The 26918-nt window shown below is 39.8% G+C and overlaps 1 protein-coding gene across 12 annotated transcripts in view, besides 1 other annotated feature; it reads left to right on the top strand.

The window, feature by feature from the left end:
- The window catches only part of MYO5A (myosin VA), a 221768-nt gene extending 196038 nt beyond the window's left edge, over nt 1-25730 (top strand). For all 12 annotated transcript variants that reach the window (XM_047432544.1, XM_047432543.1, XM_047432540.1 and 9 more), the window contains 8 exon segments: nt 2514-2660; nt 5007-5161; nt 9569-9658; nt 11504-11654; nt 13671-13953; nt 15791-15965; nt 18810-18890; nt 19165-25730. In XM_047432544.1, the coding sequence (XP_047288500.1) occupies nt 2514-2660; nt 5007-5161; nt 9569-9658; nt 11504-11654; nt 13671-13953; nt 15791-15965; nt 18810-18890; nt 19165-19317 (1235 nt within the window). In that variant the 3' untranslated portion in view covers nt 19318-25730.
- Nucleotides 1136-1265: an enhancer, noted in NCBI's record as "active region_9426". NCBI's record gives its function as "activates an Ori minimal core promoter by ATAC-STARR-seq in GM12878 lymphoblastoid cells {active_cell/tissue: GM12878}" and the evidence as "EXISTENCE:reporter gene assay evidence [ECO:0000049][PMID:35858748]".

The following is a 26918-nucleotide window of genomic DNA, read 5'->3' as shown; positions in this document are numbered from 1 at the left end:
GAAGGGCAAAAGGCTTAGCTAGTTGCCTCTTTATTTATTTATTTATTGAGATGGAGTTTGGCTTTCATCACTCAGGCTGCAGTGCAGTGGCGTGATCTCGGCTCACTGCAACCTCTGCCTCCCAGGTTCAAGCGATTCTCCTGCCTCAGCCTCCCAAGTAGCTGGGATTACAGGCATGTACCACCATGCCCGGCTAATTTTTTGTATTTTTAGTAGAGATGGGGTTTCTCCATGTTGGTCAGGGTGGTCTTGAACTCCTGAACTCAGGTGATCTGCCTGCCTTGGCCTCCCAAAGTGCTCTGATTATAGGTGTGAGTCACTGTGCCCGGCCAACATTTTATTTTAATTAGTAGATAATATTGCAAAATCAATCAAGGTTATGTTGAACTGACATCTAAATTTCATTTGTGAGCTTTGCAAAGACTTAAGTCCCTAGGGAGAATTCAGAGGCAGAGAGAAAGTTTTTAGTGAGAGTATGGCACATTCTATCTGACATTTTTATACAGTACCAAAAATATCCTGGTTAGAGATTTTGCAAAAGGAAGGTGAAGCTTCCTTTTAAAACATAAACTTTCTTAGTAAAAATATCCATTGTATTTCACAAATTCTGAGATGCAGTGTTTCCCATTTCAACATCTCTGAAATTGGGGTGTATCTTACAATTGTTGATGGGTTATAGTTTAGTTGGCAATTTTTTTAGTGTTACATAAAATACTGTATTTCATAACCGATAGCATCATAGATTTGATAAATCAGTGGGTTTAAAATATGCTCTTTGGGTTACATGGAGTCCAAATATGTGCATTTATTGATAAACCTAGTATGTTGAACTTGTTTTCTCCCAGTTTCCCCTTTTGGAATTGTACATGCGGCTTAAAAGTTACTAGTGGCATAGATGGCAGGGGTTTTATAATTTTGTTTTTTACATGCAGCTGCAGGTTTATGATCTGTAGAGGCCACTGTGTGCTGCTTCAGAGGTCCTTGTGGTGTTGTGTTTAAACTGACACCAGAAATTATGTAAAACCAAACAGTTTGAGTCTCCTTTTCTCTTGCATGGAAGAATATACTTTAGAGTTAGTCCCGTGGCTTTCATACTGGATCATGCATATGAAAAACTAGATTATGGGAGATGGCCGTAGCCCTGATCTGTCCAATCACAATCTGACCACTCTTTAGATATCATAGTGTTGCTGGATGGTGGTGACTTCACCTAAACCAGATTTTCAGCGCTGATAGTCCCAGTGTGTGCTGCTGCAGCATGAGGTGGACGGTGTGTCACCAGGCTCCATGCCACATAAGCAAGAGCACTGGCAGGTACTGATGTTCTCTGTGATAACCTCTTCCTGTGGGACTGGCTTCTCAGAACTAACCCAGGAAATTACCCAGAGTGACACAAGAAGCACTACTGACACCTCGTGGAGTCAGCAATATTAAGCTTTCTAATGTTTTTGCATCTGATCTGCATTTTGTTTGACAGCAATCTCAGAACTCAAACTTAATCTGCCCTTAAACAAATCTCTTAACCACTCTCCCTCCCTGTAGATAAAAGGATAAAAAACCTGGTTACTAGCGTGTATCTCCACAGTGGCTGTGGTAACTCATATGTCCCTTTACTTTTTGTTGGATTTCCCACTCAAGTCTCAATTTTGAGATGAAATTGGAGACTTTTTTTTTTAACCTTTAGCATAATTCTCTAGCTGCTGCCCTTGACAATAGTGACTATTTTTAACATCTGAAAGCATTGTAAACCAGTGGTTGTACTTCATTGATTGCAACTTTATAAGTAGAATTTTTAACATTATATTAAAAAGAAATAAAAAATAATAACATTTAGGAAATCATACTACATAGAGATAGTTTATCTGTTCATGATTTCTCTGGGAATGAGGATGGCAGGAGAAAATTAGGTCTTTGCCATATGAGGCCTTTGTGAAAAATAATACATTTTGGACCAAGTGGTATGAAGAAACACTCTTCTACCAGCTATCTGTATGTGTTTTGAATTGATTGTAATGATACATTTAAAGTAAATGTTCTTTTGCTTTTAATGGCTAAAGTCATTGAGCCAAGAGCAAGGGGGAATTGTTTCTGCTCCTTCTGCCCCTTTGTAGGATATTGATTGTTCCTCCTGTGAATTAAAGTCAAAATATGTTTAACCATTTCTGATTAGTATCAATTAATTAACAAATCTGTTAAACCACTTACTTTTTGGACATTTAATCTTATTAAAAAGTAAGCCTTATTACATAAAAAAAAGTTTTGAGTCATGTAAGGTTATTTGATGTTAATTTACAGTTAGGCAGGAGTGGCTTTCAGAGTAAGATGACCATATAATTTTGCCATCTGTTCACCCAATTTTAACAGAAAAAAATTATTTTAAGAGAAGGCAATTAAGTGGCAAATATGGCAAGTTTCGGTTGTTGTAGAATGCATTCAAAATTATAGGAACTTGGAGACCTCTCATGTTTTTTATATGGAAAACATTTTCTCCTCCTTTCTTACTTCTCATAAAGTGGGCCAGATGGAGAACATATCCCCAGGACAGATCATTGATGAACCCATCCGACCAGTCAACATTCCCAGGAAAGAAAAGGATTTCCAAGGGATGCTGGAATACAAGAAGGAGGATGAGCAAAAACTTGTTAAGAACCTGATTCTGGGCAAGTATTTTCTGCATTGGATAAAAGTTCCTTCTGGCACATGGGTTAATGGTGGGAAAAACTAGTCACTAATTTTTGAGATATTCAGCGTAGGTTTCATTAGTCATCATCAGATACCATGTATTCTAGTGCTGCAGTAGTGTTCTGACCACACCAAGCACTTTCAGTCCAACTGCAGGGACACATGCCTCAGACCCACCTACAAGGATTGCTCAAGATCAGGTCTTCTCAGCCCTGGCTGCACATTAGAATCACCTGGAAGCTTTGAACCATACTGATGTATCTCTCTCCCTCTTGCCCAGTTAAATCAAAATCTCTAGAGAGAAGAGCCTGGCAATGTCTAGTACTTTAAAAAAAAAAAAAAGAAAAAGAAAAAACCCTCAAGGCCAGCCTCGGGAAAATAGCAAGACCGCATCTCTCCAAAAAAAAAAAAAAAAAAAAAAAAAATTACCCAGGCGAGGTGGTACATGCCTGTAGTCCTAGCTGCTCAAAAGGCTGAGATGGGAGGATCATGTAAGCCCAGGAGTTCAAGACTACAGTGAGCTGTGATTATACCACTGCACTCCACCCTGGGCTACACAGCAAGAGTCTTTCTCAAAAATAATAAAAAGCTTCTTAAGGGATTCTCAAGTGTAACCACAGTTGAGCACAACTGCTCTAGGCCGTTTAGGTTCCTGAATTTCAGTTTTTCCTTACTCCCCTAGAAAGGTTTGCAACTAAATAGGTCAAGGACGGCAGTGTAATAATAGGGAAGAAACAAAAAAAGGAAAAGATTCTAACAAAGGAAGGAATGGACAGAATAAATGAGATGAGAGTGGAAGAAGCATTTCAGGGCAGCACACTGCCTTTAAGATTGGGTCTGAGCCTGCTGGCTTTGCAAGAAAACTTTTTAGAGGGTGGTGGTAAATGATTAGAGTGTACACACCGTAAGTTGTGAAGTGAAAATCCTAAAAACCTCTCCTTTCAGCCTTTGCACAGCATTCCTCCCGCCAGGTGCCAGGGTGACAGCAGTGTGATTGGCACTTATACCTGATGGAATGTTCCTGGCATTAAACTTAGTACTATATATAGTTGCACAGGTGCTTAAGTTTCAACATGAATTTCATTTAGCAAAAATGTTAAGGAGCCACTGGTTTTTAAGCATAGAATTAACAGATTTATCAATTCAGCAAAGAATTAACAGATTTATCAATTCAGCAAATGTTTAATGAACTCTTATCATGTGCCAAGCATTTTCTAGGTAATGAGCAAAGTGAAGTACCCAGTCTTACAGAGTTTACATTCCAGGGGAGAAATAAAGAAAATAAAATAAACAAATATATGATGGAGTAAAAAGAATAAAGAGTGAAGGCAGGTATACTGGTTTGTGTAAAATTGTCAGGAAACACTCTTTGGTAAGGTGATCTTTGGACAGACACCAAAGGAAGTAAGCTAACAAGTCATGCTAATATCTGAGGAAAGAACATTCAAGGCAGAAAAACAGTAAGCACGTAGGCCCAGGGCAGGGAGCATACCTGGCATGTTTAACCAACAGCAAGGAGACCCATTTGGAGCAGAGTGAGCTGGAGTGGGGAAGGGGAATAGGGCCAGATCCTATGCTATGGTGAGGATTTTGGCTTTTATAAATGCTTGACATGAGAAGCTGCTTGGAGGATTCTCAGAACGAGAGTGACATGATCTGACCAACATTTTCCGAAAGAATGGCCCTGATTGTTGTATGGAAAATGCAGTACTGGGGAGCAAGAGATGAATTAGGGAGGCCAGTTAGGGAGCTATTGCAGCAGCCCAGCAGGAGATGATGGTGGCCTCCATGGGACATCTGTAGCTGGTAGAAGCAGTGAGAAGTAGCTGGATTTTGGATGTATTTTGTAGATAGAGCCAACAGGGTTTGTTGATGGATTGGATATGTGGTATGAGAAAAGAAAGGAGTCAAAAATGAGGATGAGGTTTGTAATCTAGGATACTGGAAGACTAGACCTGCTATTTATTTACTAAGATGGGGACAACTTCCAAAAAAGTAGGTTCCTTAGAGAAGCAAGAATTTGGTTTGGGAGAGGCTTAGTTTCATGTGCCTGAGCAGAGTTGTCAAGAAGGTAGTTGATAGTGAGACTGGAATTCAAGGGAAAAGTCAGCGCAGGAGATATCAGTTTGGGAGTTGTCATTATATGGACATGCTCCACATTCCAGAATTTTTCTACTTAAAGAGCTATTAAAATACACTTTTTATATTACCTACTTACCTTGAATGATTGAACTCTTACATGACAACTGTGTTTTTATATCTCACAATGCATGCCTCGTGAAAATTTTCCATGTTATATAAAATTATTATTTTTTCTTTTTTAGAACTGAAGCCACGTGGTGTAGCAGTCAATTTGATTCCAGGATTACCGGCATATATCCTGTTCATGTGTGTTCGACATGCTGACTACCTGAATGATGATCAGAAAGTAAGGTCGTTGCTAACATCAACAATTAACAGCATCAAAAAAGTATTGAAGGTCAGTTCCTGTTCAACAAAATTCTCATCATGAATTGTTAATGATGACAGAATCTGCACTGATTGATCTTCCTTCCTTAGAGTTTAGCTAAGTTGCTTGTTATTAAAACTTTCCAATTTTTATTTACTTACCTATCTATTTTGAGACAGGGTTTTGCTGTGTCACCTAGGCTGAAGTACAGTAGTGCAATCTCAGCTGACTGCAGCCCCAGTGCAATCCCAGGCTCAAGCAATCCTCTCAGCTCAGCCTCCCAAGTATCTGAGCCCACAGTTGCACACCACCATGCCCAGCTAATTTTTTATGTTTTGTAGAGACAGGGTCTCACTATGTTGCCCAGGCTGGTCTCCAGTTCCTAGGCTCAAGTGATCCTCCCCCTTCAACTTCCCAAAATACTGAGATTACAGGTGTGAGCCACTGCACCCAGCCACTCAGTCTTGAGTGAAAACTTCCACTGGAAGAAACATTCTTCCTTGAACATGTCTATCTGGCTTCTTTCAAAACAGGGCTCAAGTTGAACAGTAATCAAAATTAACTTGACATAACTGCATTTTAATTGTGCAGTAAACTAACTTTATTCATGGACAGATATAGTTTGAGGTTTTACTTAGAACTAAACAATATTTAGTAGAGTTCATATATACAGGGAACGTGATGCTGAAATTAAAATAGATGTTAAATAAGTTTAAGATATGGCTCATTCATATAAAAAGATGTCTGATAAAACATTACAATTTTTCTTCCAACTTTTTCTCCACCTCACCCCATAATTTTCCCTGTTACCTAAAATGCCTGGTTCCATGTGGGAAGCAACACACAGATGCTAATCAGAGAGGAAAGACTTGGAAAAGACAGCCAAGTTATATAACTGAGCAGAAAGCCTACACAACTCAGTAGTCACTGAGTCATCTTGCATAATCCCCCTCTTGACTCCAGAGAAACAGTGAGCACAGGCTTAGTTTTAACTCAGTGTTGCTGTGAGGAGCTAAGATCATATGTTCCAGGTACTTTGCTTTCGGATTATCAAACTTAACGAGAGCTTTTAGGGTAAAGATAAGTGGATAGTCAACATGCCAGTGGACTCTTTCAAATCTAAGACTTCTTTTATGAACTTAAAAAAAAATTAGGTAAAACATACATAACATAAAATTTGCCATATTCACCATTTTTAAGTGTACAGTTACGTGGCATTAAGTGTGTTCACATTGTTGCACAGCCATCACCATCATCCATCTCCAGAGCTTTTTCATTCTCCCCAACTGAAACACAGTACCCATTAAACACTAACTCCCCATTCCTCCCTCCCTCAGCCCTGGGGAGCGAACTTTTGATAAATGCTGGTTCTCTGTTGGTCCCTATTGTGCAGGTACTTTCTGTAGTTAACATTCTACAGTGGTTACTAAAGCATGGAGTTTCTAAAGATTTAACATTTAAAAATTGATGAATGTCTTCCCAACATAATTCATTTTATTTTTAGTGTGTTGATGCAATATTGTACTTAGATAAACTATAAGTTTTGCTACTTCTTAGGCCAACTCCTAGAGAGAGAAAAAACTAAATCATAAAGTTTTCTTTCTCTCATAATAATTGCAAGAAGATACTTATCTGGTTTGACTATTGTACCAAATTCTGTAAAGATTAAAAATGATGGGCACTAGAACACAACACTCTTTAATACCATTTAAAATTAATGTGCATTTGTCTCACATCCCAGTTTTGAATCGTATGTTTGTGTTGCATACCTGTTTCAACTTTGGCAACTGGTTTTTTGCCATCGGCCCTAAGCAGCATAACTAGCCAAAGATATGCAGAGAATCCATACAGTTTTTAGCTTATGATCATTTCTAATAAATCAAAAACTGCAAATAGCTTTGAGTTCAACTTGTTTTCTCTATGGGATAGAGTAGGAACTAACATGGATTTATTAATTTTGATCAAATACAGCTTGTTTATTGCAAAAAATACTACTTCGGCAAACTCAATCTAGTAACCTCTTAGGTAAAGAGTTGGCATTCTATTTTAATTTTTTTTTAATTTCCAAAGAAGCAAATGTTCTTTTATTTTGAAGTAATATAGAGTATCTCATTTTCATGTGGACAGAGGATACCCTTAGTGTTCAAATTGTATTTGTTGAGTTATTTTGTTTAAAAGTGGGCTGGGTGCTGTGGCTCACACCTGTAATCCCAGCACTTTGGGAGGCAGAGGTGGGAGGATTGCTTGAGCCCAGGAGTTTGAGACCAACCCTGACAACATTGCGAGACCCTGTCTCTATAAAACATAAAAAAATTAGCCAAGCATGGTGGCATGTTCCTTTAGTCCCAGCTACTTGGGAAGGTGAGGTAGGAGGATCGCTCGAGCCTGTGAGGTCAAAGCTGCAGTGAGCCATGATCACGCCACTGCACTCCAGCCTGGGCAAGAGTCTCTGTCTCAAAAAAAAAAAAAAAAAGTGGGGGGCTTAGCAAAGCCTAGAGCCCACTAATGAAAACAGATGCTGGATTATTTCTAGAATGAAGTCTTCTCCTTAGGTTTTAATCACCTTTATCTGGTAACTCTTCAGTATAGGTGCCGTTACATCCAGCTGGGACTATTCTGAGGATCTCTGCAGTTTGACTTGTGTAGACGTCAGTGAAGACAGTCTAGATTGGTGCTTTAGTGACACTCTCCCATAGCCCGACAGTGACCAGCACAGTTTCCCAATCTGCATTCATTGTCTTTGTCAGCTTAGCCCAGAGCATCCACTAGGAACAGTTGTAATCCAGATTTTTGGAAGAGGCAGAGTTATTTTTAGTCAAATCTACACTTAAGCTATAGGATGATTTTCTGTGTTTGGGAAAGTAATAAAATTGTATTTACTGGCAGTAAATAATTTATTTAATTTATTTTATTCACAATCCTCCTACATTGGAAGACTATATACCTAGGTCTTTCAGATATTTACTTAGTGGTAAAGTCAGGACCTGAACTCAGTAATTCTGTCTCAGCTGAAAAGACTTAGTTAGGTTTGATATCCTCTAGGATTTTTTTTCTTAAAGTCTTTTTAGGGGAATATTCTACAAAATTTAAGGGCGTTTTGTACTTTCTTAAAAAGGTGATTTTATTTACTTAAAAAAAAATGATATAATGAGAAACCCATCTTTCCCCATGATATATCCTGTGCACTTTTACTGCATAAAGCCGCTACTAAGAAACCAAAGGCAGATATTCTCATACAGCTTCTAAGAACCTGGATTTTGTTGTGATATAGTAGTAGAGTTATTGGAATAAATGATTTCATGCAAAAAAAAATTAGCTTCTAAGACCATTTGATGCTAGGCATCTGTCCTAGGTAAACTATTCTGGTTTTCCTTTGCAAGGTTTTCTGAGAAAAAGTGCAGGCAAACATTGATATTTTTGTGACTTCCCATATACAAACTGGGATTAGTTCATCCAAATGGTTTAGTTTACAAATGCATAGTCCTTCCAAGTATGTCTGCCATGAAGCCCCTGGGAAGTATTCCCAGCCCTCACATCTTTTTCAGGCACAATGAGTCTCTCTTCTTCCTGCCACGGTGGCCCAGTCCTGGTGAAGAGCCAACCAGCTTTCCCCTGACTGTACTGCCCAGCTCAGGACTTCCTTCTTCTCATTTCTGGATTCACAGCTCAGAAATTTTATCTTACCCTTAACAAGATTTTTAATCTAGTCTGGGTTTAAGTGCTTCAAATTCTTTTTCATATTCTTTATCACAATATTTGTTATTCCTCTTTCTGCTTTTAGTTCTGATTCCCATCATTAACCCCACGGGGGACATGAATTTGGGCTAGCTGTAGCTGGGTGATTTTTTTTTTTTTTTTTTTTTTTTTTTTTTTTTTTTTGAGACAGAGTCTCGTTCTGTCTCTAGGCTGGAGTGCAGTGGTGCAATCCTGGCTCACTACAATCTCCGCCTCCTGGATTTAAGTGATTCTCCTACCTCAGCATCCCAAGTTGCTGGGATTACAGGCATATGCCACCACACCCAGCTAATTTTTGTATTTTTAGTAGAGACGGGGTTTCGCCATGTTGGCCAGGCTGGTCTCCAACTCCTGACCCCAGGCAATCCATCTGCCTCGGCCTCCCAAAGTGCTGGGATTACAGGTGTGAGCCACCGCGCCCAGCCGGGTGAATTTTTTTCTGCTTAAAGGAGCAGCTAAATTCGCATCAGTTTAATTTTCTATGCCAAAAAAGTGAATGGCAAGCAAAGCAACAAACTGATGAACCTGGTCGCTGACATTCTGCTAGCAATGACATAAGACTTCACAACTGTAATGTGATTTATTTTTATAATTGTTTATAATGGTAACTGAAAGAAATGGGTCTTTTGGTATCTGTTCAATTTTTTTTAGGTTGTTATTTCCCTAAGGAAAAGGCAAGTTTAGACTTATTCTCTCTTTCAGAAAAGAGGTGATGATTTTGAAACCGTCTCCTTCTGGCTCTCTAACACATGCCGATTTTTGCACTGCTTGAAACAGTACAGTGGAGAAGAGGTGAGAAAACCTTGATTACAAAACCAGCATGCTATACTTTCTCTGACCTTTTTAAGGAAAAAATGTAAAAGCACAAAATGTTTAACCATTTATTTAGGAACCCAAATTCAGAGGTGGCTTGGAAGTTCTTGCTTTGTTTGATGTTCACTATCTATGAAGCAGTGATTTGGAGAATGACAGTTTCTTCTTTACATTGTGAGAAAGCATAGAGAAAAATAAAATAAGCATTGGTCAGTGAATAGTTACCAGAAGTAAAACTTTTTGTCAGTATGTTTTAGTGGGCATTTCAAGAGCTAATATCAGAATAGTGAACTATTTAAAGAAATTAATCAATTTTGGCTTGCCACAATACATTAAAAGGTGATCAAAAATCGGGGGGAGGGATGGCATTGGGAGATATACCTAATGTTAAATGATGAGTTAATGGATGCAGCACACCAACATGGCACATGTATGCATATGTAACTAACCTGCACATTGTGCACATGTACCCTAAAACTTAAAGTTTAAAAAAAAAAAAGAAAATTTTAATATTAATACTCTTGGACAATAAGAGGACCTTAAAATCCTTTAACTCTAAAAAAAAAAAGGGTGATCAAAAATCATGTCTTTCGATTTGTCCAAAAAAACTCTATTGTTTTTGTTTGTGGGGATATGTTCATTAGTTGTTTGATAGACTTCAAATATTTCAAAACTATGTAGAATATTAATAATGACTATTAAGGGCTGCTTTAGTATGTGTCAGACAGCACTTACTGTATATGGTGTTATTTATGATCATTAATTCTTACAGCATCTCTGTGAGGTAGGAATTATAGTCCAGTTTTACAGATGAGGAAGCCAAGGCTCACTGGGGCTCATTGATTTACCCAAGTTCTCTTGGCCACAAGGAGCAGAGCTGGGATCCTGGGTCTGGCACCGCTGAGGGCCCATGACCCTAGCCAACTGCCCTCCATGCCTCCCATCCCTTTGCCAGGAGGGCAGCAGAGAAGGTGCCCAGCGGCACTTCCTGAGCACTGACAGGCAGATGATGGGAAACACAGAGATGAGCAAGGCCTAGTCCCTGAGAAGATGGGGCCAACAGACCAGAATCCCTCAGAGGGGTCGTTGACTGCATCCTATCAGTCCCCACTTTCGGACCAGTCATTAAGTAGGTGGTAAGGAGGCAGATGCTTGGCTGTAGGGAGAATCCTCAGAGTAAGCACTTGCCTTTATCACGTAGCATCAGGCAAACAACGTGTTAAACTGCAAAGTGACTGGAAGAAGTGCCGCCCATTCAGTTCCATTTTAACAGATACCACCAAAGATTCCCTTCTAACCTCTGACTGAAAACCATGGTGTGGGTACTACGAAATAGAGTAAAGAGAACTTTTTGTATGTATTCACTAGTCTCTGTAGAAATCGGTCTATTTCAAGATTATATATGTCCTTTGGGTGTAGTTTTTAAGAATAGGACTATAAAGAACTGAAGTTAAGAGATAATTTAGATAATTTAGTGTTTGACAGTAAACCTGCTGTTTCAGAAGTGAAACACTCTATTTTTTTTTTTTTTTTTTTTTTTTAGTTAAGTTCCTCCAATTTGCTTCATTGACATTGCTATTGGGAAGACTTAAATGCTAGGTTGCCAAGTTAAGGTATTGTTCAAAAGCTAGTAAGAACTGGAGGGGGTTATGATGGAAGCAAACAAACACACATCAGCATTTGAGAATGTCAGTCCTGGCATTAGTGGGGAAGCTCCTTGGACAGAGCAGAAAAGAGCATGAAGATGCTGATCAAATTGGAGATAGTTAAACTGAAGAGACAGGTTACTTCATGTGTATCATTAACTTTGCCTTATGACTCTAGGGCTTTATGAAGCACAACACATCTCGCCAGAATGAACACTGCCTCACCAATTTTGACCTGGCTGAGTATCGGCAGGTGCTGAGTGACTTGGCCATTCAGATCTACCAGCAGCTCGTGCGGGTGTTAGAGAACATCCTTCAGCCAATGATTGGTAAGGCCAGGGCCCCACTGGGCATTGCAGCCTGCCTATCATTCATGCCCATCGATAAGTAGCCACCAGTGGCACATGTTTCAGGGCAGGTATTCATTTGGGGAGCATAAAGTAGTAAGATACAGGGCTAAAATTAGCCGAGGAATCCCAGAAACCCAGCCATAGTTAACTGGGATACATCGAAATCACTGTTTCCACAAGACTGAAACAGTAGTATATGGTTTCCTTCCCTAATGTTTACTGTTTAAATTCAGTTGAATGCATTGAATTTTAAAAAATTGTCTTAAGTTACCAAACATTGTTATCTTCCAGCAAATTATCAGCAGGCTCCCTTTTTTTTTTTTTTGAGACAGAGTCTCGCTCTGTCGCCCAGGCTGGAGTGCAGTGGCGCGATCTCAGCTCACTGCAAGCTCTGCCTCCCGGGTTCACGCCATTCTCCTGCCTCAGCCTCCCGTGTAGCTGGGACTACAGGTGCCTGCCACCACGCCCAGTTAATTTTTTGCATTTTTAGTAGAGACGGGGTTTCACCGTGTTAGCCAGGATGGTCTCAATCTCCTGACCTTGTGAGCCACTCACCTCGGCCTCCCAAAGTGCTGGGATTACAGGTGTGAGCCCCTGCACCCAGCCTATCAGCAGGCTCTTAAGGCTACTTCCAGCTACACTTTCTTTCCCCATGCATGCATTTTCCATGTTTCCACAACTTCTTCATTTCCCTTCTGTGGGCTCATAGTGTTCCCTTTGCTTTCATAGGCCACAGTTAACTAGCTATTTGAGACATCAAAAGCTGAAGAAGCCATGGGAGATGGCAATGTTTTCTTCAGATGTCCCTTAAAACGTCATTAAAGCACCCTAGGTTGGCAAAAATTTAGGAGGTAACACAGATACCAAGGTCAACTTCAGCCAGTTTTTCTATTGCTTTGCCTGTTTCTATTGGCTGAATAAGAAGTTCGCCTCAAAGAAGCCCCAATCTAAATCCTTACCCCCATCTCCCAGTCATTTAACAGCAACAACAAACATGCCGGTTCTAGGGAATCTGTGTTTAGCACAATTAAATAGCAAGATGAACCAGACGTGGCCTTTGCTCTCAAGGGGCTTGCTGTCAGGGAGTGGACATCTCAGAAACATTCTAAGGGAGGCATAAGCCAAATGCTAAGAGAGCACAACAGGGAAGCAGCCGGGCCACAGGTGAGAAGACGAATTCTGGGAGATGGAGGTCAGCCCAAGGGCCCACTGCTGTTGTGGGAAACCCAGAATAAGGAAGGGCCCAGCTCTCCAGACCCATACCACTCCCCTCTCCCACGTTTTCTCCAAGATGGTTGTCAGTGCCCTGCTTTTCTTACTGTTTTTGCCTCTGGGGCTCAGATAACATGGAGAATGCTTATCTTAACCCGAACTGCTACCTACCACTCTCAAAAGCCCACCCAAGACACACACACTTGTTCTATCACAAGGCTACTGCTTCTTAACGCTTCTTATTTTAGAAAAGACACCATTAAGTTTACTTAGATTCATAGTAAATTTTTGCAATTAAGAATTATTCCTTCAGTAAAGTTTAAAATCCGGAAGCCCTTTTGTAGTGAAGTTCCTTTTCCCTCTATTTTGGCACCCAGATCATTTTTTTCTTTTTTGAAATGGAGTCTCTCTCTGTCACCCAGCCTGGAGCCCAGATATGTGGTCTCAGCTCACTGCAGCCTTTGCCTCCCAAGTTCAAGTGATTGTCCTGCCTCAGCCTTCTGAGTAGCTGGGATTACAGGCACACGCTACCACGCCTGGCTAATTTTTGTATTTTCAATAGAGACGGGGTTTCCTTATGTTGGCCAGGCTGGTCTTGAACTCCTGGCCTCCAGTGATCCACCCACCTCGGCGGCCTCCCAAAGTGCTGGGATTACAGATGTGAGCCACCGTGCCCAGCTAATTTTCCTAAGTTGAATGTGCATGTGTTTGTGCACATGGATATGTGCACATGAAAGGTTCCCTTCCACATCATCTCCTCTAACAATTGAAATACTCCTGCAGTCTCAGGCATGCTGGAACATGAAACGATTCAGGGCGTGTCTGGGGTGAAGCCCACAGGGTTGAGAAAGCGAACCTCCAGTATCGCCGATGAGGGCACCTACACACTGGACTCCATCCTCCGGCAGCTCAACTCCTTCCACTCGGTCATGTGTCAGCATGGCATGGACCCTGAACTGATCAAGCAGGTGGTCAAGCAGATGTTCTACATCATAGGGGCCATCACCCTGAACAACCTTCTCCTGCGGAAGGACATGTGCTCCTGGAGTAAAGGCATGCAGATCAGGTGAGCAAATGCCAACACCTGCGACAGTGTCTTTTTGCTGCCCAGCTGGCCTGCCAGGGTTGTGGAGAGCTGATGACTTGTTTTCAGTTCTTGCATCTCATGTCTGGTGCCATGTGGCCAAGCAGCAAGGGAGAAACTGGCACGGAGCCACTTTCCCTTGCCTGGCTGGATTTCACCACATCTCATTATTGCTCCCTGTCTGTACCCTGCCAACAGGTTCTTCACATTCTTGATAGGAAACCCTTTTCCACTGTGAAGCTTGCTTATTTGGGGGAGTGAAGAGATGATGCAAAAATACACAAAGATGAGATAGCTGCTTCCTCTCCTTATGTGTGTGTTTTAATTATACAATAAGAAATTATTAAATTATAATAATGAAGATTTCTAATGTTTGATTGCTCTTAGAAATATATTTTTGGAAAAATACCTTTTTGTACCTATGGCAACAAGAACAGGTCTGATAGATCTTTTACTAATTCTTAAAATATCCCCCCTCTATATTTTAAGAAAAGCTGCACTTAATTTTATGCCCAATACTCCTCAGCATAACCTCATTATTGTAACATAATTTTTTTGCAAATTTTTTTTTTTTTTTTTTTTTTTGAGATGGAGTTTTGCTCTTGTTGCCCAGGCTGGAGTGCAATGGCGCCATCTCGGCTCACTGCAACCTCTGCCTCCTGGGTTGAAGCAATTCTCCTGCCTCAGCCTCCCAAGTAGCTGGGATTACAGGCATGCACCACCACACCCAGCTAATTTTTGTATTTTTTGTAGAGACAGGGTTTCACCATGTTGGCCAGGATGGTCTCAAACTCCTGACCTCAGGTGATCCACCTGTCTCGGCCTCCCAAAATGCTGGGATTACAGGTGTGAGCCACCGTGCTGGGCCACAAATTTTTTATTTTAAAACAGCTAGAATATTCACCAAGAGGAGGGAAAAATGATTTCTCCTATCAAAGTCTTAGTAGTTACTCAATCTCAGGAACTGTTAGTGTTCTTTTCAAATTTTCCATCCTGACTTACATTGAAGTGTAGTGAATTTTAAGACAATAATGCCTTCCTCTCAGATAGTGGAGCATATTTCTCTATAAGCTCTGCATGGAAATGTGGAGCCACCTGTCGCAATATTATGCTGGCCCCTATTTGCCTGGTTGCTAAGTGCTGATTGTGTGTCTATTGACCTCAGTCTTAGGACTGCTGCCACTTGGTTGGCTATTTTGTGAAACCTACAATGTCTTTGTAGTTTGTCTCTGTCACCATTTGGAGTCTTTGTCTCTTCCAGTGGCCCTCCCTTGCCTCTCTCTCCTTTCATCCCGGAGCTTTCTCAGGCCACCATCTTCATCTCCTAGGCTCTTCCCTTAAGGCTTCAGCACAGGTATATGTGGGGCTTTTGGTTATTCAGTTACCTGATTTGGAGTTTGCCTTAAGAGAGAGTGCTTCAAGGATTATCAAGTCTCACCCTGCAACAGCAACCCAGCTCTGAAATTGTAAGAGAAGCTACAAAGTGTTTTCTGGCCAGCTCCCCAATAAAGACAGAGCTACATTATGTTATTCTATTTTGTTTATTAGCAAGTCTAATAACTTTTGCCATAATGACTTCATTTCCATCTTCCATTAAAGAGAATTACATTATCTTGTCATTTAGTCTTATATAATGGTGATTATAATCCTCATGACTATAATAAATTTTTAAGCACAGCTGATGAGATTTAAGAAAATTGAACAAAAATACTGCCTGTCATTTTAACATAAATCCTGACAAGGCCGCACACAAAAAAATTAAGACATTTTTGACAAAATTCAGCAAATTTGCATTCTCTGTATCTCTTTTTTTTCATAGGTACAATGTCAGTCAACTGGAAGAATGGCTGCGTGACAAGAATCTGATGAATAGTGGGGCTAAAGAAACCCTGGAACCTCTCATTCAGGCTGCTCAACTTTTGCAAGTGAAAAAGAAAACAGATGATGATGCAGAAGCCATTTGTTCTATGTGCAATGCTTTAACTACTGCCCAGGTAGAGCAACTTTCCCTGTTACAAAATAATTTAACATTCATCAAAGATGATCTTTAGGGAAGTAAAGAAGTCCTCTACTTATTGCTTGTATCTCTGAGCTGACTTCATCTGTGTTCAAGAAGATATATGCCTCTACCAATCTTAAAGCAAGGAGATTTTGCCAGAAATTAATACATTTCAGTGCTAATTACAGTATAAATATATTTAATATTCAGCAAATATTTATTGAGTACTTACAGTGTTCTATATAACATTGAAGGCACTGGGATACACCCATAGGCAAAACAAAGTCTCTGCTCTCATGGAGTATACAGTCTATGCAGCTTATATTCCATAAAATAGCTTTCTATCTTATTTGATAATTGAGTGGATTATCAAATAGTGACTTTGTTTTTAGAGACAGATAATTCTTGTTACTTCAACAGATGATTAATTAAGCCTCCATCTCAAGGCACCATATTTATTGCTGGGGAAGATGCTTCAATAAATAAGGAAAAATTCCTGCCTTCAAGGAGCTTACAGTTCAGTAGGGAAGACAGAGTCGTATCCAACTGACTCTACCGTAGAGGTTCTAGCAAATTCTGTAGTAAGATGCCTAAAGGAAGTACTGAGGGAAGATAGCAGTATTCAGGGAAGGTCCCATTAATCTGGGCATTGAATTTAAGGAAGTGGAAGAATGAGAAGGGCATTTGAGGATTATAGTGACAGCATGAAGCAAGGCACAGGCATGAACATGCCCAATTTTCTTTTGCCCGGTTATTTTCTGTGCTGACTCTTAGACTTTCTTTCTTTTTTTTTTTTTTTTTTTTTTTTTGTGACGGAGTCTCGCTGTGTCGCCCAGGTTGGAGTGCAGTGGTATGATCTCCACTCACTGCAAGCTCCCCCTCCCAGGTTCACGCCATTCTCCTGCCTCAGCCTCTGGAGTAGCTGGGACTACAGGCACCTGCCACCACGCCTGGCTAATTTTTTGTATTTTTAGTAAAGATGGGGTTTCACCATGTTAACCAGGATGGTCTCGATCTCCTGACCTCATGATCCACCCGCCTCAGCCTCCCAAAGTGTTGGGATTACAGGCGTGAGCCACAGTGCCCAGCCAACTTTCTTAATGTTCATCATATATCCTACAACATATGAAATTTTCAGTTTTGCCCAATACAATTAAAACTCAATCAGTTTGAGACCAGCCTGACCAACATGGTGAAACCCCATCTCTACTAAAAATACAAAAATTAGCCGGGCATGGTGGCAGGCACCTGTAATCCCAGCTACTCTGGAGGCTGAGGCAGGAGAATTGCTGGAACCTGGGAGACGGAGGTTGCAGTGAGCCAAGATTGCACCACTGCACTCCAGCCTGGGCAACAGAAAAAATCAGTAGGCCAGGCGTGCTGGCTCACACCTGTAATCCCAGCACTTTGGGAGGCTGAGGCAGACAGATCACCTGAGGTCAGGAGTTCAAGACCAGCCAGGCCAACATGGTGAAACCCCATCTCTACAAAAATACAAAAATTAGCCAGGCATTGTGGCGGGTGCCTGTAATCCCAGCTACTTGGGAGGCTGAGGCAGGAGAATGACTTGAACCTGGGAGGCAGAAGTGGCAGTGAGCCAAGATTGTGCCACTGCACAGAGACTTCATCTCAAAAAAAAAAAAAGTCAATCAGTAGACAATCAGAATCAAGACTTGCAGCTTCTTAATGTTGAATTCATGTTTGCATAACTTCTTACTAAGAATAAAGCAGAACTATCTGACAGAACAATGGTCCTGAGATTTCCTCCCAGTTTCTGCAAGTGTGGAAAGTAAGAATACCCTGGAGGAAGCCCAACTTTATAGAAGTTGGCTGCCATTCAACTTCTAAAGAATATACTTTAATACTTAAATATACTTTAAGCATATTTCACAGAGTGAGGCAGACCTGCAGTTTATTTATTTAGCAAATATTAGTTAACAAAGTGGTCCCACTTTTTAAAATTCAAATACTTGCCTCCGAGAGACTGATCCCTAATTCAGTTTGTCACCCACAGACCTGATAACAACATGCCCACTTTCTAGTTCTCTGGTGCTTAATTTATTTTCCTATAGATCAGCACTGTCCTGCATTCAACTTTTATTTTCATTTTGTGTTAATAGCCACATGTGGCTAGTGACTACTACTGTTGTATTGGACAGCACAGGTTTAGACAATACCTTGAAAATGGAAATATCTACCTTATATAGACGATGATTTATTTTCATTAGAAAAGAGACATGACCATTTTACAAAAAAAAATTATTGAACTTTTTAAAAAAGAACTTCATACTCTCTAATTGATTAATTTCTTTAGGGGCTTTTGTTATTCATGTTATTTATGATCTTTTATAAAAATATGATTTAAAAAACATTCAAAAGAGATAATTGTATTAATACGGCTAACATTTTTATATGGAGAAAAGTTGCAGAATAGTATTAATAGAATGAATCCCATTTGTATAAAAATAAAATGAACTAGAATATTTATAGCAGCTAGAGGGGGTGTTCAGGACATGGTTAACAATTGCCACTTTGGGAGACTGGAAGGATGGAAGTGCGGACATTTATTTTTCATGTTTTATTCTCTTGTGCTATTTGAATATCTTCGAAATTTACACAGCTTCTTACAATATTACACAAACATTACATTGATACATTCTCTTGTAAAAATTCAGATAAAGGTAAATGTGCAGACCAGCTCCTCCTTCCTTCTGGTCCCAGCCCACCCCTGAGTAGAACTGAAATCTGTACGCACAGATCCTTTTAATTTTCCAGATTATAGGTACCCAGTGTGTATTTGATAATATGCCAAAAACTTTGATCATTTCATTTCTCACAGATTGTGAAAGTGTTGAATTTGTATACTCCAGTTAATGAGTTTGAAGAAAGAGTCTCTGTGTCGTTCATTCGTACTATACAGGTAAGAGCTCCCATCTTCTTCTTTGATTCACCAACACAGTCTTTTGAATGGACATTTTGTAATTTATTGAAGGATAATGTGTTATCTTTTATTATCTTATTTTACAATGCACTAACTTTTTTGATAATAGTTAATTGGGAAAATGAAGTGAGTTTAAAACAAAAGTAAACATTCTTCATTAGTTGAGAATTTGAGGGTAGAAATTTTAGTAGAAAAAAGTCTTTTAGATTCAAAGAACTGATGCTCTGTTTATTTTTTTTCCTAATCTTCTCAGATGCGTTTACGAGACAGGAAAGACTCTCCCCAGCTGCTCATGGATGCTAAACACATCTTTCCTGTCACCTTTCCTTTCAACCCATCTTCCCTCGCACTAGAAACCATCCAGATTCCAGCCAGCCTCGGCCTGGGCTTCATTTCACGGGTCTGAAAGTGATGTCCAGGCAAAAATTGACAATACATTTCTTGCCCGAAATAAGAACCCATTATTTCCAGTGAGTTACTGAAAATACATTTTTAAAGAGAAAGTACTGATTATCTCCCAAATGAGAAGTCATTAACTGGAAATCTCCCTAGAATACTTTCATCACTTTGGAAACAAAGATAGGCTCTTTCGTGCTGTGTTATCTTTATAGCAACACTCATCCTTAACCAACTAGGTACCGTGAGTTTACATACAGGAGAATGATGGAAGGAAGGGAGGAAGGAAAGGAGGAGAAAAATGTGTCTTCAGCTGGCAGCATTTATTTTAAATCCTTAGCACTGAGTTTGAATGGTATAAAAAGTATAACTTCCATAGATGAGCTGTTGTTAGGAAGGCACCAAAGAACCTCCTCTGCACTAAACAGGAGAATGGAAAGAAAAGTCTCCATTGAGTACATATCATGTCAGTTTAGTAATCAATTATGTTGATATTGTTAAACTGGTTCAAAGAAATAAACTGGCAATATGTAAAGTAATTCCTCATTTGTGTCACTATGATATAGAGATATTAAAGGAATGTTGGTTTGCTAAATAGTATAGATGTCCATTTGTACTATAGTTTACTGAGCATTTTAAATTGCTGCTACATACTGTCTTCTTAAAATGTAAGTGATATTAGGCACTACAATAAGTTTCTCTTGTCAATTCTGTTTACAATTCAATCAGATCACAGTTTTAACTGGATTATATGCAAATACCTACAGATTCACCTGCACAAGTAGCAGACACTGGAAAGTCATGTAGTAATATGACAAAATGCTTGACATTTAGGGGTAGGATTAGACAAAGTGGCTATTGTTGATGTCATTATTTATTCAGGATGTATTACATTGATGTGCTCATTAATTTTCCCTGGGTGGATATTGCGTCAGGGTACAGTGTTCTGTGAAGTGACTTATTTTTAACTACCAGATCTGATTCCTTCAGTGCATATTTTCAACCTTGACAGGTTTTCTCTCTTCTTAATTTATTAAGAATTAATCTCGGCTGGGCGCGGTGGCTCACGCCTGTAATCCCAGCACTTTGGGAAGCCAAGGTGGGCGGATCACTTCAGGTTAGGAGTTGGAGACCAGCCTGGCCAACATGGCGAAACCCTGTCTCTACTAAAAATACAAAAATTAGCCGGGCGTGGTGGCACTTGCCTGTAATCCCAGCTACTCGGGAGGCTGAGGCACGAGAATCGATTAAACCTGGGAGGCGGAGATTGCAATGAGATCGAACCACTGCACTCCAGCCTGGGTGACAGAGAGAGACACTGCCTTGGAAAAAAAAAGAATCTCACTCACTATCTAGAGAGGATTGTCAGAATATTCACGATTCAGGTCTTGAAACTTTGATTATGCAAAAGAAGGTATATAATAAATATTTCATTATGATTCAGTTTTTAAGGCTTTGCAGCTTCTATAAGTGTTCTCAGATGCCACTAGATAATTTTAAAAGCATCATATTAGAAATACTTTAAGAAGACTTATATAAGAAATAGAAGATTGTTGAATTTTACAGAGGATTTGGTTCATTAAGACCCAGATTCTGTAAGTTTTCATTCTGAAATTCTAGTTAAACATATTCACCATTTTTCTTAGGAATCTTATACAATAAATCCTTCAGGTTGCACAAAAGCAAATTATTAGTTTTCATTAGAAACTCTGGTTCTGAATTACAATCATAGGTTATATAAATTTAACTGTTAGATGGTCTATAAATCTTATTAAAATATGTGCAATATTTATGGAAGTCAAACAGCTTCATATCAGTGATAAAGATTGTTATTAAAAGATAAATACTGTCTGTTAATTTACATGGGCCTCAAGTTCCTCGTTTATAAAATAAGAGAGTTGGACACTGATTCTTAACATCTCCTCCACATTTAAAATTCTCTCTTCTCAGCCCTTAGATTCTAGAGAGAAAAAGCTGCAGTTACTCAGTAAGTCCATTCTCTGATGGAAAGACCAGTGTGTAGTGCCTGTCAATTCCTTAGGATTAATCAAATGTAAAATCACAAGTTTGTGTAGCTGTAACCTTTCTTAAATGTACATGATTTATGTACATGCTTTTAGAAGGTCCTACTATATTTGTATTATAATTAGTTTAAGTAATTTTTATTACATCATGTATTGCTTTATTCAGTTTGAATACATTTATTTATTTATTTGCAGTATCAACCAGAAACACTACCAATTGCATCAAATTCTCCCAGTTTTTCCTGGTTGTCAATGCGGTTTTCAATGCACAATTAAGTCATAGCCATTTGGTTCGTACCAAATGTGTCAGAATCTAACAGCATCCGATAGGCTGTAAGTTGGGGAGTTGCTAAGAAAATGCAACGTGGTACAGGCTGTCCGCCTCAGCCCTGGAAATCTCCCAGACCTCCCCCAGCTTCATCCTGTGTAGCACGACTCAACGTGCACCCTGAATCTTCTCAGGTCTTCCAGGTCATGCTGTAGCTGTCACTGCCATGCAGCCCTTTTTTTTACTCCGGACAGCTCATGTACTGAAGCGTCATGAAAGAAAGGCTGTGGTCTGAGCCCTTCTCTCCCATCTCCTGTCTTTGTCCTGTCAAGTGCTGGAGCCAGAGCTCCTACAGCTGCCCTTGGTGGTTTCTCCTGTTCAGCGATGGTGGCACAAAGGTTCTGCTATTCCAGGGCTCCAGCTTCCTCCCAGGTCTACCCAGAGCTCCAGATGGGGGTCTGAATTAACCTCTCTTGGTGGCCTGGAGATTTTTAGTCATTGACAAGAATACCTTGTAACCAGGGAACCCCAAGGCCCAGTAAATGATTCTGTATACCATTTTCTTGAAGGTACAAGAAGATTCTGCCGACTATGGGGATCTTTGGGCCAGTTTGAGGATTGCTTTCCCTCTGAGGTTCTTTCTCTCTGTCAGCCACACTTTCTCACCCAACTTCAGACACACCCTGCCAGCCTTTCCCCTACTCATTCACTCTTCCCCTTCCCTCAACTTAATCGTCTATCCCGTTGCCTGCTGTTTGACTGTGCACTGAAGGCAGGTGGATGGAGTCAGTCCTCAGTTGCCCCTGCTGGCCTTCCTGGTGCTTACCATCAGCCCAATCTTTGCACAGTCCTTGTTGTTCTTACTTCTCTGCATGCATTCCTTCAGAAGATCAGTCATCAACTTTTTCTTAATTCCTCTGTGACACACAATGGGAATTCAAAGGAAGAGATCTTAAAAGTCACAACAGTTCTTTATCTTAATAATCCCCTCCCCATTCACCTTACTACATGCAGACTCACCTCACACCCTTACAACTTGAAGCTGAAAATTTAAAAGTAATTTCCCTTTTTGCAGCTTTTCCTCAGGTTAAGGCTTTGATCTGCCTGAGAGTAACTCTAAAAGGAGGGAAGATAAATATGGGATAAAATCCACAAAGTGTAGCTTCTAATTCCTTTGGAAGTTTAAAAAATTTCCACATATCTGATGCTTCTTTTGTCAGGTGCAGAAGCACAAAAACATATTCCGAAGCCAACTGATAGGGAATTTGGGGATTATTGTCAGTTTGGAGAATTTGCTGTGTTATTTCTTCATTTCCATGGATAGCTCATAGTTGGCTCTTTCTGGGTGAGTAATTATGTGTAATATAGATCAAATCTTTTACTAAGGTTACAGCTACATGTTAGGGGAGGCTATGAAAATACTATATTATTATAATTTCAGTGCAGTGATTGTTGTGAGAAATAACTTTCATGGTAACCCTAGGAAAATGGGCACCTGCCACCATCCTGAGAAGTCCTCACACAATGCCCTTTCTCTCTTACACACACACACACACACATACACACACACACACCCCCGTCACTAATTCATAGAGTTCCTTAGCAGGCATAGTCAAGGATCCTCTGGGTAATGTCAGCTGCTTAGTGATAAAACAGAGCCAAAACTAGTGCATCCTGTTGAAAGTAATGCAGAAACAGTACCTGGGTCCAGATATGCTTTCCTGCGGCGCTTTCCTCTGTTACCTCGTTTCATCCTCACAGCAGCATGGACGGTAGGTGGGGTCGCTTCTACAATCATTTCTGATGATAGCTTGGGAATAGAGATAGGGGCAGTGACTTGCCTGATGTCGCACAGCCCTCTGGCTGTCCTGCTTTCCCATATGGAGCAGTGGTGGTGTGGGCACCTGTGATGCAGGAGACTTTAAAAATGTCGTGAGGTCACGTGCTGCCCCTCCTGGTACGTGTGGAATGCCCCTGGCCAGCAAGGGGTGCTTTTTTATCAGAGTTGGCAGCTGGCATGTGGGAACCGAGCAAGTGCTGCGTACCAAGTTACTTGTTTTAAGGAGACCAAGTGCTCAGCGCCAGGTGGTTTTCTTTTTTGTCATAGTTACTTGCTATAACTCAGCTTGACTTCTGTCATGAATCAGTGCTCTCTGGGAGGATGCAATACTCTGTTTGGGCATTAATTGGTAGCAGGTTGTCTCAACCAAAAAGACAGGAAACAGCAAAAGCCTCTCTGAAATTAAGAGGAAAGTTACTCTCCCCACACCCATCAGAGTCTTTATTGGAGCCACCAGGTGAGCTGTGCAGCCTGGACAGGCCTGCAGCTATAGGCCACCTTCCCAGTTTAGGTCCTCAGCACAGGGGAGCCCAAGTCACTGGGTGCCTTCCGAGGGCTGTCACTGGGCAGGCCATATACAAGTCAGTGTGTGCGTGGGCACTGCAGTGTGTGCATGCCGTAGGTGTTGATGGGTGCTAGGAGGGGTGTCGTGTGCATGCGCGTTGAAGAGGATCTGTATTGCCGTGACCTCTGTTCATGGATGAGTGCATTGTAATTTGTTCTCAGGCTGTGCTGTGAGGGCCGCCTTAACCCTTGCTCCCTTCCCTTCTAGAGCTGCCTTAAGTTCTCCAGAACTTTTCTTCTGTAAAGGATATCTTGCCTGGAAGGGATATCTTGCCCTGTTTCTCAAGGTTTTGTGAGAGTTTTGACTGGATGTGGCCCTGCATGACCCTCCTTCTCCTGTACTTCCTCTTTCCTTTCCAAATGGGAATTAGAACTGTGGGGCAGCAACAGTCTCAGAGCCAGTGAGAGGCCAGCTTAGAGAATGCTTCTGAGTTAGTGGGACTCTGTGTCACAAGTAAGCAAATGAATATATGAAAGAAATTATGGAGATAAGTTAGATTCTTGGTAATACTTAAATGTCTTGCTTTCTACTAACCTTTTGTTACTAAAGGTAAAGGGTATAACTCAAACTTTTTGTGGACATTCTTTTCAAAATTTTTTAAGAACCCTGTACTATAAAAGGTTGAGTAAAAACAGGAAAGCGTGCTATAAGTTCAAATCTGTTGTATTACCCTAAATTAGATAAACCAACCTGAATTATAGTAGATTTCTCAATAGATGAGGAACTGAAAAATACTATGTAAAATATCTTCCAAAATGCTTTTTATACTTTTTTTATTTGTAATTTGGTCTATCTAAAATGTTCGTTAGCTTAACTTAATGGGCGTTATTGGATTCATATGACTAACGTTTCCTCAGTATTGTAATGCTTGAAATATTTGAAAGAAAAAATGTTGTTTTTTAGTTGAAACTGGTATATATAATTCAGTGCTTGGCAGGTTAGTATATTTTTATGCATTTTTCAGAGTCAGCAGTTTCAAATCTTATTGTTATCATGTTATAAAATTTTAGCCCACATTTCAGGCTCCGTAAATCATTTGAGCCATTATTTTTTCCCAACAAATGGTGAATTTTTTCTTTAAATGTGGATATATATGTTGTAATTTATGATTCCTGGTTATGTATTTTTGTGGGATCCTGCAGTAAAATTGACTTTTTTGTGTCTTTGGGAGATTTAAATTGCGCTAACAGTGTTGCGCAAAAATGAGTTCATGCCATTTAACATATTGTATTTTAATTATTAACTGTATTAATTTACTATGAAATGGACATCCTTTTAACTAAAATGGAATTGAACATTGCAGTTTTCAAATATTTTTCCTTGTTGGGTCTGGAAAAGGAATTCTACTTTGATCTGCATAGAAAATTTTGATACAATTTTTTGAAAGTTCTTAGGTGAAACATTTACCCATTAAAAAGGAAGCAGAAATACTGAGACATGAAAGGCATTATCAACTAACTCTAGACTCTAGAACCCATTCTAGCATATCTCACGTGCAATTTTTAAAAATAAGTTAATAATTCATCTCATATCAACAAAAGCCTTTGAAACATGGGTTTTCACTAGATATCACCTAGTGCTAAGATAAAAACCAAAACAATATCAGAATTACATTTATGCTCTAAATTTGTAGTTGTCCATTGTTGTGCTTAGTAAATGTGTGTCATTAATGCTGTATTCTCCTAGCTATTATGGAAACTTGTTTAAATAAAGATATGGATATAAAGAGTTTTTGTCAGTGTCTTATAAGCAAATCCACTGCACATTTTAAAACAACAAAACAAGTTGTTTTCCTGAAGACTAGTGAATGTAAATATAATCCCTCCCCATGAGAATATTCTAAGAAGTCTTGGAAATTTAAAAGTTGACGAGTTCCCCTCCTATACTGGACACCCTAGTAATATATATGATAAAGAAGAGAACTGCCAAACACTTAAGCAAACAGAAACAGCTGAAGAAGAGGTAGTGTCTTTTCTTCAAGGGAAAGTCATGCCTAAATATATTGGAATTCTCTGACAGAGAAATAGACATAACCAAGGGAAATTTGATATGCATAATCTACTTAGATTTTCAAAAGATTGAGGGTGTCATTTGTGTCAAAAGTTCTACTTTTAATATAGTGGGACAGTAGACATTTTTTGGCATAAGACATAGATCAAAGAAGTATGCAGATGTGCTTTTTTGGGTAAGGAAACAGAGCAGTTATTCAGATCTGTGGTGGAATTAGTCTCATCTTTATTTATGATAAGGAGAAATTAATATCATCATGTACCACATAACATTTTGGGTCAACAATGCACCGCATATATGACAGTGGTCCCATAAGTTTATAATACTGTATTTTTACTGTTACCTTCTCTATGTTTAGAGAAACAGGTACTTACCATTGCCTGCAATTTGCAGTACAGTAATGTGCTATACAGGTTTATAGCCTGGGAGCAATAAGCTATTCCATATAGCCAGGGTGTATAGTAGGCTATACCATCTAGGTTTGTGTAAGAACACTCTGATATTTGCACAATGATGAAATTGCCTGATGATGCATTTCTCAGGACATATCCCCTTTGTTAGTAATGCATGACTATGACTGTACATGGTTTTCATGTAGATTATACACTTCCTACTTCCATGACACATTCATTCAACTCATTTATTAAGTACTTTTCTGGGCACCGCAACAGGCCCTTGAAATATAGCATCTTCCAAATTAAATTCAATCACTGGCCCCATGAACTACAGCAGAACACCAATATGTTACAAGTAATAAAATGTCAAAATTTGCAAACAGTTTCTTTTTTTCTTTTTTATTTTTGAGACAAAGTCTCGCTCTGTCGCCAGGCTGGAGTGGAGTGGCGTGATCTCAGCTCACTGCAACCTCCGCCTCCTGGGTTCAAGTGATTCTGCCACAGCCTCC

This window comes from Homo sapiens, chromosome 15, assembly GCF_000001405.40.
Source record: "Homo sapiens chromosome 15, GRCh38.p14 Primary Assembly".
Classification (NCBI taxonomy): domain Eukaryota; kingdom Metazoa; phylum Chordata; class Mammalia; order Primates; family Hominidae; genus Homo; species Homo sapiens.
The sequence above is the reverse complement of the archived record's forward strand: the minus strand, read 5'-3'. Positions and strand labels throughout refer to the sequence as shown.